This window comes from Homo sapiens, chromosome 3 (assembly GCF_000001405.40).
Source record: "Homo sapiens chromosome 3, GRCh38.p14 Primary Assembly".
NCBI classification, from domain to species: Eukaryota; Metazoa; Chordata; class Mammalia; order Primates; family Hominidae; genus Homo; species Homo sapiens.
This window is the reverse complement of record NC_000003.12, coordinates 46,233,642-46,253,093: the sequence shown is the minus strand read 5'-3', so window position 1 is coordinate 46,253,093 and position 19,452 is coordinate 46,233,642. Positions and strand designations below refer to the sequence as shown.

General features: G+C 43.1%; 1 protein-coding gene across 6 annotated transcripts in view, besides 2 other annotated features; it reads right to left on the bottom strand.

Moving 5' to 3' along the window:
• CCR3 (C-C motif chemokine receptor 3) overlaps positions 1 to 19,452 on the bottom strand; it is a 56,011-nt gene that overhangs the window by 13,613 nt on the left and 22,946 nt on the right. For 4 of the 6 annotated variants that reach the window (NM_001837.4, XM_017005685.2, NM_001164680.2 and 1 more), the window contains exon 1: positions 10,556 to 10,634. The gene's annotated coding sequence lies outside the window, so the exon portion shown is untranslated. Of the gene's footprint in view, positions 1 to 10,555; positions 10,714 to 19,452 lie in introns of those variants that run through there. The other 2 variants (XM_006712960.4, NM_178328.1) reach the window with 2 other exon arrangements.
• Positions 8,156 to 8,700: an enhancer, noted in NCBI's record as "NANOG hESC enhancer chr3:46285885-46286429 (GRCh37/hg19 assembly coordinates)". NCBI's record gives its function as "activates a minimal SCP1, AML or CMV promoter by ChIP-STARR-seq in primed H9 embryonic stem cells {active_cell/tissue: H9 hESC(primed)}" and the evidence as "EXISTENCE:reporter gene assay evidence [ECO:0000049][PMID:30033119]".
• Positions 13,097 to 13,653: an enhancer, noted in NCBI's record as "OCT4-NANOG hESC enhancer chr3:46280932-46281488 (GRCh37/hg19 assembly coordinates)". NCBI's record gives its function as "activates a minimal SCP1, AML or CMV promoter by ChIP-STARR-seq in naive H9 embryonic stem cells {active_cell/tissue: H9 hESC(naive)}" and the evidence as "EXISTENCE:reporter gene assay evidence [ECO:0000049][PMID:30033119]".

Genomic DNA, 19,452 nt, shown 5'->3' with positions numbered 1-19,452 from the left:
TCTTGAAAATCCCCAGCTTATAACCCTGAACAATTAAATCAGAGTCTCTGGAGATGGGGTCTGGCTCTCAGTGGTTCTTAATGCTCTTCTGGTGATTCCCTTGTGCAGCCAAGGTTGACAACTCCTGGACTATGTGACATGAAGTCCCTCCTAAATTTGAACTTTTTTTTTTTAAATCCCTGAGTCATGTAACCCTCCAACCTATTTTAAATGTAGTGGAAAGAAAAGGGGAAACTTAGGGGTAGAATAAAGAATATCCTTAGTTGCAAGTTCTTTAGAAGCTATCACCATGAATGGCAAACACAAGAGCCAATTTAATGGTAGGCTATATTGCTGTATCATCCAGAACAAATGAAATCTACCACCTGACTCTCCATCCACCTCTCCACCAGCTATCCCTTCTTGTTTCCATCCAATTACCCATCTAGATATTCAACTTGCTTCCCATCTATGCAATTAAGCTGATCCCCTCCCACTTCCTTCCCTTCCTTCATTTCTTTTCTCAAAAAACCTGGAGTATCCAGAAAAGTTAGTTATCTGTGCAGTGGTCCAATAGAATTTTTCTGTATTAGTGGAAATGTTCTGTATCTGTGCTGTCTGATAAGAGAGACACTTGGCTGGGTGCTGTGGCTCATGCCTACAATCCCAGCATCTTGAGAGGCCAAGGTGGGTGGATCATTTGAGGTCAGGAGTTCAAGACCAGCTTGGTCAACATGGTGAAACCTTGTCTCTACTTTAAAAAAAAAAAAATTAGCTGGGCAGTAGTGGTGCACCCCTGTAATTCCAGCTACTCGGGAGGCTGAGGCAGGAGAATCTCTTGAGCCTGGGATGCGGAGTTTGCTGTGAGCTGAGATCGTGCCACTCCACTCCAGTCTGGGAGACAGAGTAAGACCCTGTCTCAAAAAAAAAAAAAAAAAAAAAAAAGACAGAAACTAGCCTCATGGCTATTGAGCACTTGAAATGTGGCTACTGCAATTGAGAAACTGAACTTTTCATTTTATTTAATTTAAATAACCACATGTAGAAAGTGTCAGGCCTCTGAGCCCAAGCCAAGCCATTGCATCCCCTGTGACTTGCACATATATGCCCAGATGTCCTGAAGTAACTGAAGAATCACAAAAGAAGTGAATATGCCCTGCCCCACCTTAACTGATGACACTCCACCACAAAAGAAGTGTAAATGGCTGGTCCTTGCCTTAAGTGATGACATTACCTTGTGAAAGTCCTTTTCCTAGCTCATCCTGGCTAGGTGATTTTAAATCACCCCCACTGAGCACCTTGTGACCCCCACTCCTGCCTGCCAGAGAACAAACCCCCTTTGACTGCAATTTTCCTTTACCTACCCAAATCCTATAAAACAGCCCCACCCTTATCTCCCTTTGCTGACTCTCTTTTCGGACTCAGCCCGCCTGCACTCAGGTGAAATAAACAGCCATGTTGCTCACACAAAGCCTGTTTGGTGGTCTCTTCACAAGGATGCACATGAAATTTGGTGCCGTGACTCGGATTGTGGGACCTCCCTTGGGAGATCAATCCCCTGTCCTCCTGTTCTTTGCTCCGTGAGAAAGATCCACCTACGACCTCAGGTCCTCAGACCGACCAGCCCAAGAAACATCTCACCAACTTCAAATCCAGTAAGCGGCCTCTTTTTACTCTCTTCTCCAACCTCCCTCACTATCCCTCAACCTCTTTCTCCTTTCAATCTTGGCGCCACACTTCAATCTCTCCCTTCTCTTAATTTCAATTCCTTTCATTTTCTGGTAGAGACAAAGGAGACACCTTTTATCCATGGACCCAAAACTCCGGCGCCGGTCACAGACTGGGAAGGCAGCCTTCCCTTGGTGTTTAATCATTGCAGGGACGCCTCTCTGATTATTCACCCACGTTTCAAGGGTGTCAGACCACGCAGGGACGCCTGCCTTGGTCCTTCACCCTTAGCAGCAAGTCCCACTTTTCTGGGAAAGGGGCAAGTACCTCAACCCCTTCTCTCCATGTCTCTACCCCTTCTCTGCTTTTCTGGGGGAGGGGCAAGTACCCCTCAACCCCTTCTCCTTCACTCTTAGTGGCAAGTCCCACTTTTCTAGGGGGCAAGAACCCCCAATCCCTTATTTCTGCACCCCAACCTCTTATCTCTGCACCCCAATCCCTTATTTCCTCACCCTGACCTCTTATCTCTGTGCCCCAATCCCTTATTTCCGCACCCAGACCTCTTATCTCTGTGCCCCAATCCCTTATTTCCATGCCCCAACCCCCCTTCCCGCTTTTCTGGAGGGTAAGAACCCCTGAACCCCTTCCCTCCATGTCTCTACTCTCTCTTTTCTCTGGGTTTGCCTCCTTCACTATAGGCAAAATTCCACCCTCCATTCCTCCTTCTTCTCCTTTAGCCTGTGTCCTCAAGAACTTAAAACCTCAACTTACACCTGTCCTAAAACCTAAACGCCTTATTTTCTTCTGCAACACTGCTTGGCTCCAATACAAACTTGACAATGGCTCTAAATGGCCAGAAAATGGCACTTTCGATTTCTCCATCCTACAAGATCTAAATAATTCTTGTCTTAAAATAGGCAAATGGTCTGAGGTGCCTGATGTCCAGGCATTCTTTTACACATCAGTCCCTTCCTAGTCTCTGTGCCCAGTGCAACTTGTCCCAAATCTTCCTTGTTTCCCTCCCGCCTGTCCCCTCAGTCCCAACCCCAAGCATCGCTGAGTCTTTCTAATCTTCCTTTTCTACAGACCCATCTGACCTCTCCCCTCCTTGCCAGGCCAAGCTAGGTCCCAATTCTTCCTCAGCCTCCACTCCTCCACCCTGTAATCTTTTTATCGCCTCACCTCCTCACACCTGGTCCGGCTTACAGTTTCGTTCCATCACTAGCCCTTCCCCACCTGCCCAGCAATTTACTCTTAAAAAGGTGCCTGGAGCCAAAGGCATAGTCAAGGTTAATGCTCCTTTTTCTTTATCCCAAATCAGAAGCGTTTAGGCTCTTTTTCATCAAATATAAAAACCCAGCCCAGTTCATGGCTCATTCGGCAGCAACCCTGAGACGCTTTACAGCCCTAGACCCTAAAAGGTCAAAAGGCCATCTTATTCTCAATATACATTTTATTACCCAATCTGCTCCCGACATTAAATAAAACTCCAAAAATTAGAATCTGGCCCTCACACCCCACAACAGGACTTAATTAACCTCACCTTCAAGGTGTACAATGATAAAAAAAAAAAGTTGCAATTCCCTGCCTCCACTGTGAGACAAACCCCAGCCACATCCCCAGCACACAAGAACTTCCAAACACCTGAACCGCAGTGGCCAGGCGTTCCTCCAGAACCTCCTCCCCGAGGAGCTTGCTACAAGTGCCAGAAATCTGACCACCAGGCCAAGGAATGCCTGCAGCCCAGGATTCCCCCATCTGTGTGGGACCCCACTGGAAATCAGACTGTTCAACTCACCTGGCAGCCACTCCCAGAGCCCCTGGAACTCTGGCCCAAGGCTCTCTGACTGACTCCTTCTTGGCTTAGCGGCTGAAGACTGACACAGCCTGATCGCCTCGGAAGCCCCATAGACCATCACAGATGCCGAGCTTTAGGTAACTCTCACAGTGGAGGGTAAGTCCATCCCCTTCTTAATCAATACAGAGGCTACCCACTCCACATTACCTTCTTTTCAAGAGCCTGTTTCCCTTGCCTCCATAACTGTTGTGGGTATTGATGCCCAGGCTTCTAAACCTCTTAAAACTCCCCAACTCTGGTGCCAACTTAGACAATACTCTTTTATGCACTCTTTTTTAGTTATCCCCACCTGCCCAGTTCCCTTATTAGGCCGAGATATTTTAACCAAATTATCTGCTTCCCTGACTATTCCTGGACTATAGCCGCATCTCATTGCTGCCCTTCTTCCCAATCCAAAGCCTCCTTTGCGTCCTCTTCTTGTATTCCCCCACCTTAACCCACAAGTATAAGATACCTCTACTCCCTCCTTGGCGACCAATCATGCTCCCCTTACCATCTCGTTAAAACCTAATCACCCTTACCCTGCTCAATGCCAAGATCCCATCCCACAGCACGCTTTAAAAGGATTAAAGCCTGTTATCACTCGCCTGCTAAGGCATGGCCTTTTAAAGCCTATAAACTCTCCTTACCATTCCCCCATTTTACCTGTCCTAAAACCAGACAAGCCTTACAAGTTAGTTCAGAATCTGCACCTTATCAACCAAATTGTTTTGCCTATCCACCCCGTGGGGCCAAACCCATATAACCTCCTATCCTCAATACCTCCCTCTACTACCCATTATTCTGTTCTGGATCTCAAACATGCTTTCTTTACTATTCCTTTGCACCCTTCATCCCAGCCTCTCTTTGCTTTCACTTAGACTGACCCTGACACCCATTAGGCTCAGCAAATTACCTGGGCTGTACTGCCACAAGGTTTCACAGACAGCCCCCATTACTTCAGTCAAGCCCAAATTTCATCGTCATCTGTTACCTATCTCGGCATAATTCTCATAAAAACACACGTGCTCTCCCTGCTGATCCTGTCCGATTAATCTCCCAAACCTCAATCCCTTACAAAACAACAACTCCTTTCCTTCCTAGGCATGGTTAGTGCAGTCAGAATTCTTACACAAGAGCCAGGACTGCACCCTGTAGCCTTTCTGTCCAAACAACTTGATCTTACTGTTTTAGCCTAGCCCTCATGTCTGCATGCAGCAGCTGCCACTGCTTTAATACTTTTAGAGGCCCTAAAAATCACAAACTATGCTCAACTCACTCTCTACATTTCTCATAACTTCCAAAATCTATTTTCTTCCTCATACCTGATGCATATACTTTCTGCTCCTTGGCTCCTTCAGCTGTACTCACTCTTTGTTAAGTCTCCCACAATTACCATCATTCCTGGCCCGGACTTCAGTCCAGCCTCCCACATTATTCCAGAAACCACACCTGACCCTCATGACTGTATCTCTCTGATCCACCTGACATTCACCCCATTTCCCCATATCTCCTTCTTTCCTGTTCCTCACCCTGATCATGCTTGATTTATTGATGGCAGTTCCACCAGGCCTAATCACCACACACCAGCAAAGGCAGGCTATGCTATAGTACAAGCCACTAGCCTGCCTCTTAGAACCTCTCATTTCCTTTCCATTGTAGAAATCTATCCTCAAGGAAATCACTTCTCAGTGTTCCATCTGCTATTCTATGTGCTATTCTACTACTCCTCAAGGATTATTCAGGCCCCCTCCCTTCCCTACACATCAAGCTCGAGGATTTGCCCCTGCCCAGGACTGGCAAATTAGCTTTACTCAACATGCCCTGAGTCACAAAAACTAAAATACCTCTTAGTCTAAGTAGACACTTTCACTAGATAGGTAGAGGCCTTTCCTACAGGGTCTGAGAAGGGCACCGCAGTCATTTCTTCCCTTCTGTCAGACATAATTCCTCAGTTTAGCCTTCCCACCTCTATACAGTCTGATAACAGACCAGCCTTTATTAGTCAAATCAGCCAAGCAGTTTTTCAGGCTCTTAGTATTCAGTGAAACCTTTATATCCCTTATAGTCCTCTGTCTTCAAGAAAAGTAGAACGGACTAAAGGTCTTTTAAAAACACACCTCACCAAGCTCAGCCACCAACTTAAAAAGAACTGGACAATACTTTCACCACTTTCCCTTCTCAGAAGTCAGACCTGTCCTCGGAATGCTATAAGGTACAGCCCATTTAAGTTCCTGTATAGATGCTCCTTTTCATTAGGCCCCCAGTCTCATTCCAGACACCGGACCACCTTAGACTGTGCCCCAAAAAAACTTGTCATCCCTACTATTTTCTATCTAGTCATACTCCTGTTCTCTGTTCTCAACTACTCATACATGCCCTGCTCTTGTTTACACTGCCAGTTTACACTGTTTTTTCAAGCCATCACAGCTGATATCTCCTCGTGCTATCCCCAAACCGCCGCTCTTAACTCTTGAAGTAAATAAATAATCTTTGCTGGCAGGACTATGCTGAATCTCCTTAGGCACTCTCTAATCAGATGTCCTAGGTCCTCCCGATTCTTAGACCTTTTATACCTGTTTTTCTCCTTCTCTTATTCCATTTAGTTTTTCAATTCATACAAAACCATATCCAGGCCATCACCAATCATTCTATACGACAAATGTTTCTTCTAACATCCCCACAATATCACCCCTTACCACAAGACCTCCCTTCAGCTTAATCTCTCCCACTCTAGGTTCCCACGCCGCCCCTAATCCCGCTTGAAGCAGCCCTGGGAAACATCGCCCATTCTCTCTCCATACCACCCTCCAAAAATTTTCGCCACCCCAACACTTCAACACTATTTTGTTTTATTTTTCTTATTAATATAAGAAGGCAGGAATGTCAGGCCTCTGAGCCCAAGCCAAGCTATCCCATCCCCTGTGACTTGCACATATACGCCCAGATGGCCTGAAGTAACTGAAGAATCACAAAAGAAGTGAATATGCCCTGCCCCACCTTAACTGATGACATTCCACCACAAAAGCAGTGAAAATGGCCGGTCCTTGCCTTAAGTGATGACATTACCTTGTGAAAGTCCTTTTCCTAGCTCATCCTGGCTCAAAAATCACCCCCACTGAGCACCTTGCGACCCCCACTCCTGCCCGCCAGAGAACAAACCCCCTTTGACTGTAATTTTCCTCTACCTACCCAAATCCTATAAAACGGCCCCACCCTTATCTCCCTTCGCTGACTCTCTTTTCGGACTCAGCCCGCCTGCACCCAGGTGAAATAAACAGCCATGTTGCTCACACAAAGCCTGTTTGGTGGTCTCTTCACACGGACACGCATAAAAGCAAGTAGCCACCATAGTGGACAGTACAGGCCTAGTGTCCAGCATGATGCCTGACAAATGAAAGATGCTTAATAAACTCTTCTTAAGTGTATGAAAGGATGGAGTAGAATAATTTTTACTCTGCTTTGCACTGTCCAGACTACACATCTGAAATATTATGTTCTGTTCCAGGCACCAAATTTTAAGAGGGTTAGTATCAACCTAGACTATAGAAGGAAGTAGGATGATAACAGTCCCAAAACATCAGCCATAGTTGGCAGAACTTGGAATGTTTTGTATGAAAAATAATAGCCTTTGCATGAAATCAAACTAAATGCCCATCAATGACAGATTGGATAAAGAAAATGTGGTACATATACACATGGAATACTATGCAGCCATAAAAAAACAGATAGTGTCTTTTGCAGGAACATGGATGGAGCTAGAAGCTATTATCCTTAGCAAACTAATGCAGGGAAAAAACCAAATACGACATGTTCTGACTTATAAGTGGGAGCTAAATGATGAGAACTCATGAACACAAAGAAGAGAACAACAGACACAGGGGTCTACTTGAGAGTGGGAGGAGGGAGAGGAGCAGAAAAACAAGTATTGGCTACTAGGCTTAATACCTGGGTGATGAAATAATCTGTACAACAAACCCCCATGGCACGAGTTTACCTACGTAACAAAGCTTCACATGTACCCCCAAACCTAAAATAAAAGTTAAAAAAAAGGAAAATAATCATATTTGGATTCATTTTAGGTTTTGTTTTGTTTTGTTTTGTTTTTGTATGCCTTTGGTCTGGATCAAAGTTTTTTTTTTTAATTAAAGGGTTGGATTAGGCAATGTTTTAGGCCCACGTAAGATAGAAAAGTCTATGATACGATAGTTCTTCCTGTAGAAGAGGAAGTAGACTCTCATAGAGCAGAAATTTGATGACCTTGGAGGATACTAGATACATCCACACATGGGGAAGAACTTTCTGAGAACAGTGCAGGAACGGAATGAGGGAGCCAGTGAGCTTCTTCCCTGGAAATACACAAGAAGAGCCTCTCAAAGTTCAAATCATGAATGAATGCAGTCTTCTTTCCAGCCACAAACATTTCCCAGAATTGGTATTTTAGGGCAGCACATGGATTTCCAGAGCTTCCAATCATTAATAATAGTTACTAATGCAAAAGTTACACCTCATGCTTGTGTCTTTCAGAATTGTGTCTGAGTGCGGTCAGTTCATCTTAAGTGACAGGGTTTCGCCCACCAGCCAAATGATTTTGGATTATTGAAGGAGTTGGTCATGAAGAATATGTTTTCACAAGGAAAGTATGCATATACATTCCAAATAACATGGTTGTGGGATAGTCACCATGACCAGAATTTCAGCTTTCTGGGACCCAGTGCTTCCACCTCCAACTGTGCTATGGAGAGAGAGCCACTGCCTTTCCAGGTACCATGTATGTTATAATTGACAGTGTCAGGCCTCTGAGCCCAAGCCAAGCCATCACATCCCCTGTGACTTGCACATATATGCCCAGATGGCCTGAAGTAACTGAAGAATCACAAAAGAAGTGAAAATGCCCTGCCCCGCCTTAACTGATGACATTCCACCACAAAAGAAGTGAAAATGGCTGGTCCTTGCCTTAAGTGATGACATTACCTTGTGAAAGTCCCTTTTCCTGGCTCATCCTGGCTCAAAAAGCTCCCCCACTGAGCACCTTGTGACCCCCACTCCTGCCCGCCAGAGAACAAGTCCCCTTTGACTGTAATTTTCCTTTATCTACCCAAATCCTATAAAACGGCCCCACCCTTATCTCCCTTCGCTGACTCTTTTCGGACTCAGCCTGCCTGCACCCAGGTGATTAAAAAGCTTTATTGCTCACACAAAGCCTGTTTGGTGGTCTCTTCACACGGACGCGCATGAAAGATAGTACACTTGTATATCATTTTGTATTCTGATACCTTAACTTCTTTACCTTTCACCTAGTTCCTTGTGGCTAAAAATTACTTAAAAATGTAATTTGTAATGACTCCAACATATTGTATAGATAATCATGCTTATTTAACCATTGCCTTTTTGTTGTGTGATTAAGTTATTCACAATTTGCTCTGCTATAAATAATACTGCAATAAACATATTTGTGTGCATTTTAAAATTATTTCCTTAAGGTATATTACACAAATCACAATTTCTACATTGAATTATATTTCGAAGTCTCTTGATGCATTTTGTCAAATTGCTTCCAGAAAGTGTGTAACAATATATATACTCTTGGCACTAGTAGGTGATGGTGCCCATTTCAGCAAGCATCCATCAATATGGAGAAGATCTAAAAGAAAGAAAAAATTACTTGGCCAATTAGATGGGCAAAAGGGTTGCCATTATTGTTGTAATTAACATTTATTTCATTACTGATTTTTTTTAACTACAAGTATTAGTCATTCATATTTCCCTTCCTGTGATTTATCTCTTTGTGCCCTTTACCCAATTTATTCTGCTGTACAGATCTGCTTTTTTCTTATTAAGTCATACAAAGGGCTCATATTTCTTCTCCCAGAAGAGCTAACTCATCCTGCGTGGTTCAGTGTAATCATCACCATTTTCTGGAAAGAGCTGCACTTCAAAAATATACTTCAACTTATACCACATCCATGTGGAAGACCCCTTATTCCCACCACTCTCACTTGAAGTACTTGTCAAAGTTAACACTCATCCTCTGTCAATCCAGGCGTTTCCAGAAGAATCGGTAAGGCTTTCTAGCTCTACCCTCTAACACAGACAATCTCATTCACCCAGAAAAAAAGACACCAAATCAATCAACTGACTCATCTAGTAGCTTGATTTAGTGTGGATTTTCAATGAAAACTTCAAATAAATATATATATTTCCACACATACATACTTAATGCACACACACATATGTATATAATCAGCCCTCTGTATCCATGGGTTCCACATTTGTGTATTCAACCAATCACGGATCAAAAATATCTGGGAAAAAGCTCCACAAAGTTGCAAAAACCAAGCCTTGAATTTGCCACGCAGCAAGTGCTATGTTGACTCCACATGAATGAAGCGCTCTGTATGCGTTGTATTAGGTATTACAAGTAATCTAGGTACTTGTATTTAAAGGGTACTGGAGGATATTTGTAGGTTATCAGCAAATACTACATCATTTTATATAAGGAACTTGAGCATCTATGAATTTTGGTATCTGCAAGGGTCCTGGAACAAATCCCTCACAGATACTGAGGGAGGACTTTGTATATATAAAAATGTATGTGTGTGTGCGTATATATATATATATATATATGTGTATATATATATATATACACATATATATGTAAAATTATATTTTTGCTATTTCTTACAAGTCAATATAAATAAACACAAGCTATTAAGTGTAAGCTCTTTGGAGTAGTCATATGCACATAGTTGAGAATTTGTGAAAGTATAGGAGGGTAACATGGGCACAGATGTTGACTAAAGAGGTATAAAGGGCCAAGTTTGGGTGAGTGCTACACGCAAACTTATCATTGTGTGGATGGGAGACAGAAAGGGAAAATTAGAAAAAGCAAGAAGAAAATGGAGATATGTGGCCATATTTTCTCCCACTCTGGCCCCATACTACCTCTAAATTGCTGTGTACCTTCCTCTCCTCCCTCCTAGATCCAAGAGCACTGCTGGAAGTTACTACTTCCACCTGCCTGGACCCCTCCTTGTTCCACCTCCCTTTTCCTGGAAAAGCGACACCTACCTGAAAATCTCTTCTAAGTAAAAACTTCTATTGTATTTCGATAAGTTCTTGCCCGGATAAGCACAAGAAGACCAGTGGTACCTGCTAATTTAGTGAAGTCCTTGATATGTCCAGTGATAGCTTAGGCGTCACCACTCCTGAAACAGAGATACCATCAGATCACAGACATTAGTAAAGTAGTAAACAATGTAAGTATATAACTTCCTGTTTTAAACAGACTAGCTTCTCAGTTTTGCAAGTTTTCAGAAAGATACTTTCGTGCAGTTCTTCTTTTTCATGATTGACACCACATACTAACCAGTCACCTGAGAAATCCTTGCAATTAGTGCTGCTTTAGGGGCTCTCCACCCATTGGCATTGCTCATTTTTAGTGGTGGGGGGTTGTTATAATTTTTTTTTTTTTTTTAAGACAGGATTTCATTCTGTCACCCAGGCTGGAGTACAGTGGCATGATCTCAGTTCACTGCAACCTCCACCTCCTGGGTTCAAGGGATTTTCCTGCCTCAGCCTCTGGAATAGTTGGTATTAGAGGCACATGCCACCATGCCTGGCTAATTTTTGTATTTTTAGTAGAGACAGGGTTTCACCATGTTGGCCAGGCTGGTCTCAAACTTCTGACCTCAAGTGATCTGCGAGTCTCGGCCTCCTAAAGACCTGGGATTTATAATTCTTGAATAAGCATTGATTTGACTCATCGGGAGACAGGATGAAGAATGAAATAAGAATTTCCCGGCAAAGGAATAAACTAATTATTCTGCAGGGTCCAGTAGACACTTGGATGGGGCAAAATGTGGCTGCAAAGGTTTAGACAAGTCTAAAAGACTTGAGTTTGAGTTTCAGTTGTGGCATACACAGCTACATAAGCTGGGGGTAGTAATTTAAACTTGCTGGACCTCAGCTTTTTCATCTCTAAACTGGAAATAATGATATTTAAGTCATAGCATTGCCGTGGAACCAACTAAGATAAATATGTGAAAAGTCTCTGCAGAATATACAGGGCTAAGGAAATGTAAAGTGTGGGTAGAATGCCACTGTGACATAAGCGTCATAGGGCAGAGCCATGTCTCAGGGCAAAGCGTCACAGGGCAGAGCCATGTGCCTGCTGTATGTGCTGATGTGTCCCTTGGGACCTAGCATGGCACTGGGCACAGAGCAGGTATTCACCCAATATTTGTGGGAAGAACTCTGACTAAGCATGAAGTGATCTTTGATACACTGACTAACTCGACAAATGAGTGTAATGCACCAAAGTGTTTATCAAACGTTTGATATGTGTGTAGGACTGTGCTGTATGCTTCATGATAAAGAAAACATAGGAACAAAAGACAAAGAAAGAGGAAGGAGGATAAGAGAGACAGAGAGAGAGAGAGAGCGCACACACATGTGCATTAGAGAGAGAGAGAAAGAATAGGGAGAGAATTTGAGAGAAAGAGAAGAAAGGGAGGAAGGGGCTCAGTTTCCACCTTAAAGAGTCTATAACCTTGTTGGTGATCAGAGACAACAGAGACCTGATAAAATATCAAGAATGCTCAAATATAGTTAAAGCATAACCAAAGAAACATTTCACTATTTAATCTACAGCATATTCAATATAGCATATTCAAATTGGCTAAAACAAAATTTTCGACTGATAGTAAGATCTCAGACTTTGCTGCTGGACACCTGAATGCAAAACCTACCTTTACCGCTTAATAGGGATATCACCGTGGGCAAGCTACATAACCTCTGTGTGCCTCAGCGTGCTCTACTGCAAAATGATGTAGCAATGCCTAGCTTGTAGGATCTGTGTGAGGAGCAAATAAATTAGGACTACGTGGAGGCCAGTGTGTGGCATGTGGACAGCGTCATGAAAATACTTATCATAGTTGTCATGACAGACCCTCTCAGTGAGAAAGAGGCAGCCACTCAGGGTGGTCTGAAATATAGTATAATATATTGTGCTCTGATTCAGCATGTGGGATGTCAAATGCAAGTTCTACAGGGTTTAGAAAACAGGACCATGTGGGCTGAAGGGACTGGGAACGGCTTCATGGAAGAGAAAGGGCCCGAGGGATGAACAGAATTTGGCCATGTGGAAGGGGTAGGGAGAGTTTCCAGGAAAAAGGAAGTAGAGCTACCAAGACCAAGAGGTGAGGTGAGCTTGGTCCCTGTGCAGGGGTAGGCAGGAATGAAATTAGGGAACAGATATGCTTGCATCCTAATGCCAGGAACCAAGAGCCAGGGAGATTAATATATATACACACATACACATTTTAAAATGTGTAACACATTATATACATCTGTTAGGGTGACACACATTCAGAAGCTCCAGCCCTGCAGAGCATTCAGAGCCACCTGCAGGTCTCTGGCAGAGGGTGGAATTTTGCAGGCCCATTGTGGTGCATCTGGCTTCCACTCCTTTCACTTTATCTGGGGAGTTTTATCCCTAGATCACATGACATGCCAACAGGCGGTCAATGACATCTGAAGACAGGAAAGGCATGGGCCTGGCAGAGGTAGTGGGCATGGAGCAAAGAGTGGAGGGAGATAAGATTGACTGCTGGTTTTGGCTAGATTATAAAGAGTTGACGAGTTCACAGTAGATTCCATGGAAATGTGGGAGCTATTGAAGGATTTTGAGTTATAGTACTGGTACTACCTTATTTGAGATCAGTGTTTGAGGGTTTTCAGAGTATTCCACATAAATTTTCTGGGTGGAAATCCCACAATGACCTTTTAACTTAATAGGGAGATTGTCATCCCAGAGCTGCCTCCATGGGGTGCCATTCACAGGGTAATCAATGCAAACTGCTCCACCTGGGACTACGCAGTAGACCAGAATGAGGAGCAATGCTGGTAATCACCTAACCTGTGGATAAGGGAATTGAGATCAAGTGACCTGTCCAAGCTCACACATGACTAAATGGTGGAGTGGAAATTCCAGCTCCAGTCTCCTTAATTAGCACTCTGTGTTCTCACCAGTGGTGAAATAGAAGGCACCTGGGATTTAGCACCACACAGACCGGGTTCACCTCGCCCATTTATGGCTCATATAGATGAGTCATGTAGCCTTCCTGAGCCCTAATTTCACCATCTACAGTGGAAATTTTGGCTAAGATGAAGCACATGGTAGGAGCTTGATAAATAATCACAATTACCAAATGACATCTCTGCAGAGTTAAAACTATAACAAAGCATTCTTCATCTGAAATCAACAAATTATAGTATTTCCTAGAAGGTTACAAAGATTTAAAAAGCATTTGGAGATTTCTGTAAAGAAGCTACATGCATAAGATTTTTAATAGCTAATTCGCAAGAGATTGTAAAAATTCAGTCACTTCCATTTCTACACCTTGGAGAAAAACAAAGAGGACGGGACAGCATTTTTTTCTGGCATTTTGCAATAAGGCAGATTCTTGTAATAATCTCTACGATTTCCCTCATTAGTTTTTCAGTTAACAACATATTGAAGTGTCATTTGCTTGCACCCATTTTAAGGGTACAGGTCAACAAATTCAACAATTGCATACCTCTCTGAATCACCATCATAATCAAATACAGGACATTTTCACACCTCAAAAAGTACCTTATGCCCCATTTCAATCAATGACTCCCTTATCCCCTGTCCCAGGCAACCGCTGATCTGCGTTATGTTGCTCTAGCTTAGTTTTGCTTGTTCTAGAATATCATATATAAATGGCATCATGCCATATCTACTCCTGTGTCTAGCTTTTTTCTCAGCATAATGAGTTTGAGATTCATTTGTGTTATTCCATGTATCAGTGATTGTAGGGTCCCTCAGGTCCCCCCACTTTTTTCTCTGTCTCACCTGAGAAATAGAGAGTGCCTTGACTACGCTGTGACTTGGCAAGTTTTGTGTTGTCTCCTGTGGCTTGAACTCAAGCTAGGGACTTGAACACTTCCACGCACTAATAAAGGTATTCAGGTTATTGCTAAAGCACTAAGAGAAGTTATCCCCAGCCCTGAGCCAAATTCCGTAAATCCTCATATAAACTCCATACCCTGATCCCCTTGTGGTGGACATACCTAGGTAAAACATCTCTTTTTCTCACTGTCATGAGAACTGCTGCAACACTTTGTTAAGTTTCCCTAGTAAATGCACTGCACTCGACATTGAGAAACCAGCCCAATAAAAAAGATCTGAATAGATATTCCATAAAAAAAAAGTATAGATGGCAAATAAGCACACAAGACTGTCAACATTGTTAGTCATTAGGAAAATGTAAATTAAAATTGCAATGAGATACAACTACATACTTACTAGAATGACTAACTTTTTTTTTTAAATTGACAATATCAAGTGCTGACAAGAATACAGAACACTAAAACTCTCATACAGAGCTAGTGGGAAAGAAAAATTGTATAGCCACTCTGAAAATAAGGCAGTTTATTATACAACGCATTATAATTCAAAGCAGCTCATTATTTGTTTAAAGAACTAAAAGTATCAATCTGTCAGAACATTGGAGCAACTTTCAAGTAAAGCAGTTTGGTTCTCAGGAATATGTAATTGAAATAGAGAAAAGATCTGAAACTATGTGTTTAACCAACTAGGAAATGTAAGCAGATCTTGATTTCTTTCAAATGTGTAGAAATTATTCTCTCAAACTTGAAGGTGGTAAGAAGATCAAAATCAGGCACCTGGATTATGAAAAACAGTGTTCTGGTTACTGTAGCTTCATAACAAATGATCTTAAAATGTAGCAGCTTACATTGTAACCCAAACAGCATGGCGTTGGTATTAAAACAGACACATAAACCAATGGAATGGAATAGAGAGCCCAGAAATAATTCACACAGTTACAGCCAACTTATTTTCAACAAAGGTGCCAAAAACATACATTGAGGAAAGGACACCCTCTTCAATACATGCTGCTGGGAAAACTGAATAGCCACATGCAGAATGAAACTGGACCCCTATCTTTCACAAAAATATACTTATAATGGATTAAAAATGTAAACATAAAACCTAAAACTATAAAACTACTACATGAAAACATAGGGAAAATGCTTCAAGACATTAATCTAGGCAAAGCTCTTGTGGCTAACACTTCAAATGCACAGGCAACAAAAACAAAAATAGACAAATGGGACAGTATTAAACTAAAAAGCTTCTGCACAGCAAAGGAAACAACCAACGGAGTGAAGAGACAATCTGTAGAATGGGAGAAATCTATGCAAACCATTCACCCAAGTACTAATATCCAGAATATGTACAAGGACCTCAAGCAACTCAACAAAAACAACTGGAGATCTATCAAAAAGCTAAAAATGGAACTAAGGTACAATCCAGCAATCCCATTATTGGGTATTTTTACAAAGGAAAGGAAATCAGTATATCAAAGGGATACTGCACCACCGTGTTTACTGCAGCACTATTCAACCTAGTTAAGATATGGAATCAACCTAAGTGTTCATCAATGGATGAATAGATAAAGAAAATGTGGTATATATGCACAATGAAATATTATTCAGCCATAAATGAATGAAATCATGCCATTTGCAGCAAAATGGATGGAACTGGAGGTCATTATGTTAAGTGAAATAAGCCAGGCATAGAAAGACAATTTCACAAGAGGTAATTTGAATTGACTGAGAGGCAGCTGCCTCCTTTCTCTCCTCAGGTCTCCCCTTACAGCTGCCTGCGGGACAACTTTCCAGGATCCCTGGCCTCACACCCACTCCCCTTTCCCTCCTCTGCTGAAGAATCTTCAGCCATGTGCTATTGTGTCTTAGATAAGGTACAGACTCTTGGAACTGAGGTTTTGAACTCTTCTGAGCCTGCTGCCTCTCTTCCCACTAGGGTCCCACTATGTGCTGCCTCTCTCCAATGCTGCTGGGAAACTCTGGACATCCTGGGGACCCCAGTGTGAGGGAGCTTGACAACCAGCAGTCCCAAGAGGGCCAGCAGAACCAGTGGAGAAGAATTAGAGGAACTGGAAGCCTCTGGTCTGCAAAAGAGAAGATAAGAAGTCCTCTAGTTGTTTATTATAGAGGTGACATTTCCTGTGGGCAGTTTGACGCAGCCCAGGGTGGAGAGGTTACATGGAAGCAGACTTCTACCCAATGCAGCAACAACAGTGTCAGCAGGACTTCCTGGAAGGTGAGCCGTCCTGGGAGCCTGTCGATGGGGCTGGTGGAGCAGAGCCCATGTGGCCTTGCACATGCACCACCATGGTGAGGGCAGCTCTCAGCAGCCGGTGTCTTCCCTTTTCTCTTCTCTCTGCTGCTCTGAGTTCAACTATCATGAGGGGCACAAGGTCAGAGATAACCAAGTCCATGTATTTTCATGTCTTTCCACGAGGTCACACTTCTGCTGGTGCTGTTTCAATCATAAAAGCCACGAACTGCATGGAGTTCCCAAGGAGGCAGTTCCCGTTGGTACCACCCATTTACTCTGTAGTCAGAGCCATGGGCACACAGGCTCAAGCCACTCCCCAAGTCAGTCAGTATTGCAAACCATACATCATAGTATACTTAATCAATATATAAATATTATAGATTAAATATTCCACATCAAACAAAGTAACATTTGACATCAAGAGAAAAGGGATAGGAAAAAGAGTTAACAAACCAGTCCAGGGAGAGCAACATGAACAAAAATAATGTCCTGGAATGCCCCAGGTGCCAGTCAGCATCAGCATCTTGCAAGGAAGAGTATTTGATGTGCGTAGAGCCTTCGGCAGCAGATGCCATGTGCTTATCACAAATGACAGCAAGACAGCATCTGTTAAGTCTGCTGTTTTGAGCTGCTGAAGTCCTGCTCTTTTATGGCCAGTCCTCTGGTGAGGGCTCGTAGTGGAAGAGTATGTTTGGTTATGTCCTTATTTGCTTGAATGCAGTGTTTTGTTCAGGCAAAAACATCTGGTCCTCAACGCCTTTTGAAATGTAAGATGAAGTCTTTTTCTAAGATGGAGTTACTTATGTCAAGGGCACTCTATACACTGACCTGCAGTCAAGATTCAGTTTCTCCACAAAGATATCTCTTTCTGCTTAGAAAGAATGGACTCCAATCCCAGTGAGTTATTAGCAATGTGAAAGTTTCAATTTTCTTGTCTATAAATGAAGATCATTATAGTACCTGCAGGGATGTGAGAATTGGGTGAGCTAGCCTATGAGAAGTGCTTGTAGGAAGTGCGCCTCCAATGCTAACCATGATAGCATGTGTTGTTATGTCTTAATGTAGCAGGCCTTGGTACTCACCTCCCTTTCCACACTCCTGTGGCATTTATTGCCTACTTAGTCTTCTGGTGCTCAGTATCCTCTGGAGAGAAAGAAGCCCTTCCCTGTCCCCTGCCCCCTTTATTGTCTGGGATCTGAGCAAGTTAAGATATGGGGGTAGGTGGGGGAGTGAGGGAAAAAAGAAGCCTGTTAATTAAACCACAGAACTGTACAGATGTATCTACTGAGTGACAGGCAGCTCTCTTTCAAGAGGAAGAGGAGCAGAGCTGGGCTAAGGCTTCCCAGCTATTCTTTCCAAATCTGACCAATTTAAAAGCCACTCCACCTCCAGTAGAGGGGTGGAGAGAAGCCAGATGTAGACCCTTTGAGCTCCCTTCAGGAGAAAGGGAGTGGGATGTGGGAATGGGGGCTATGCATGGGCGTGAGCCCTCCACCTGGTGAGTGGACCTGGTCAACTCCATCCTCACCACTCACTGTAGCCTTAGAATTCCCCAGAAGTGATTTAAACAACCAAAGAGCTTCATTTCTTCATAAAACAAGCTAAATGCTGGTGATGGTGGTGGAAGGAAAGCCATAATAAAGAAATCTTAAAAAGCAGTGGTTCTGGGGCAGAAAACATAAATTTGGGATAAATTATCGACAGGAATATGGAATTCAGCAGTGACTCAGATCTTCATGGGAGTGACTCTACTGTGTGTTCCACATAAAAACAAGGGAAATCAGGGGGTATTTTGTGGGGTGCTCCAGTTAGGGCAATGAGTGCTCATCAATTGCAAGACTAAGCTTTATAGAATGTTAAAACGAGGCTTAATTTATGTGAGGATAAGCACAACCACATAAATTCTTGGTAGAAATATGGCTCCAGATAACATCTGGAGCCCAAGTGGACTCTGAAAGGGTATGTGGTCACTCTGGGAGATCTTGGATCTGATGTTTCACAGATGTCAAGGATCTCCCCTGGGCTTTCTTGGGTATCAAGAGCCCTCAGGCCTTTCAGGTTGAAGCTTCTCATGAACTACCCATTGATTAAACCAATGAATCCATCCCAATACATTTAATGTCTCTTAGGATAAAAGCATGCACTGTTAGAAAACACTCCTGGAGATTCACAGTGCATTAAAGGCCCCTGAGAAGTCCTGTAGTGATGAATCTGTTTGAAACCTTCCTAATCCAGCATTTCTCAAACCTATCTTTAACTTAGAAAAAAAATACTTTTCAAATGACAAGTGTTAACATCTCTCAAGGTCAGGATGCCTCAGGAGCACTCTGAGCAGTGCCGGCCTGATGCATGCACAGGCACTACAAGGGCATACTGCCCCCTGTCCATTGTCTTACCTTGACGGGGTATCCATTGCAGCCCAGGAGGTGGCAGGATGCTCTTGCAACCCTGCTACCTTACCCCTGTGTTGCAGATGGGGAAGCTGAGACTCAATGAGGGACTTGGCAAAAGCCACAGAGAGTGAAGGGCAGAGCTGGCTCTACCCCAGAGCTTGGGCTAGCCACATGGTGCTCTGTTTTCCGGCATGGTACTGCCGTCTGAAGAAGAGTTGCCTGTTGCCCTTCAGCCAAAGGTGAGGATGGCATCAAACCTGAAGGAAACCAGAACACAAAGTGGTTTCCCCAAGGTCCAGAATGGCTCGTTCTGTCCTGGCTTTTCCTACCACGGGAAAGAAATTTTTGATGCTTCTTTTGGGGTTCTTAGCTCACAGGAAAAA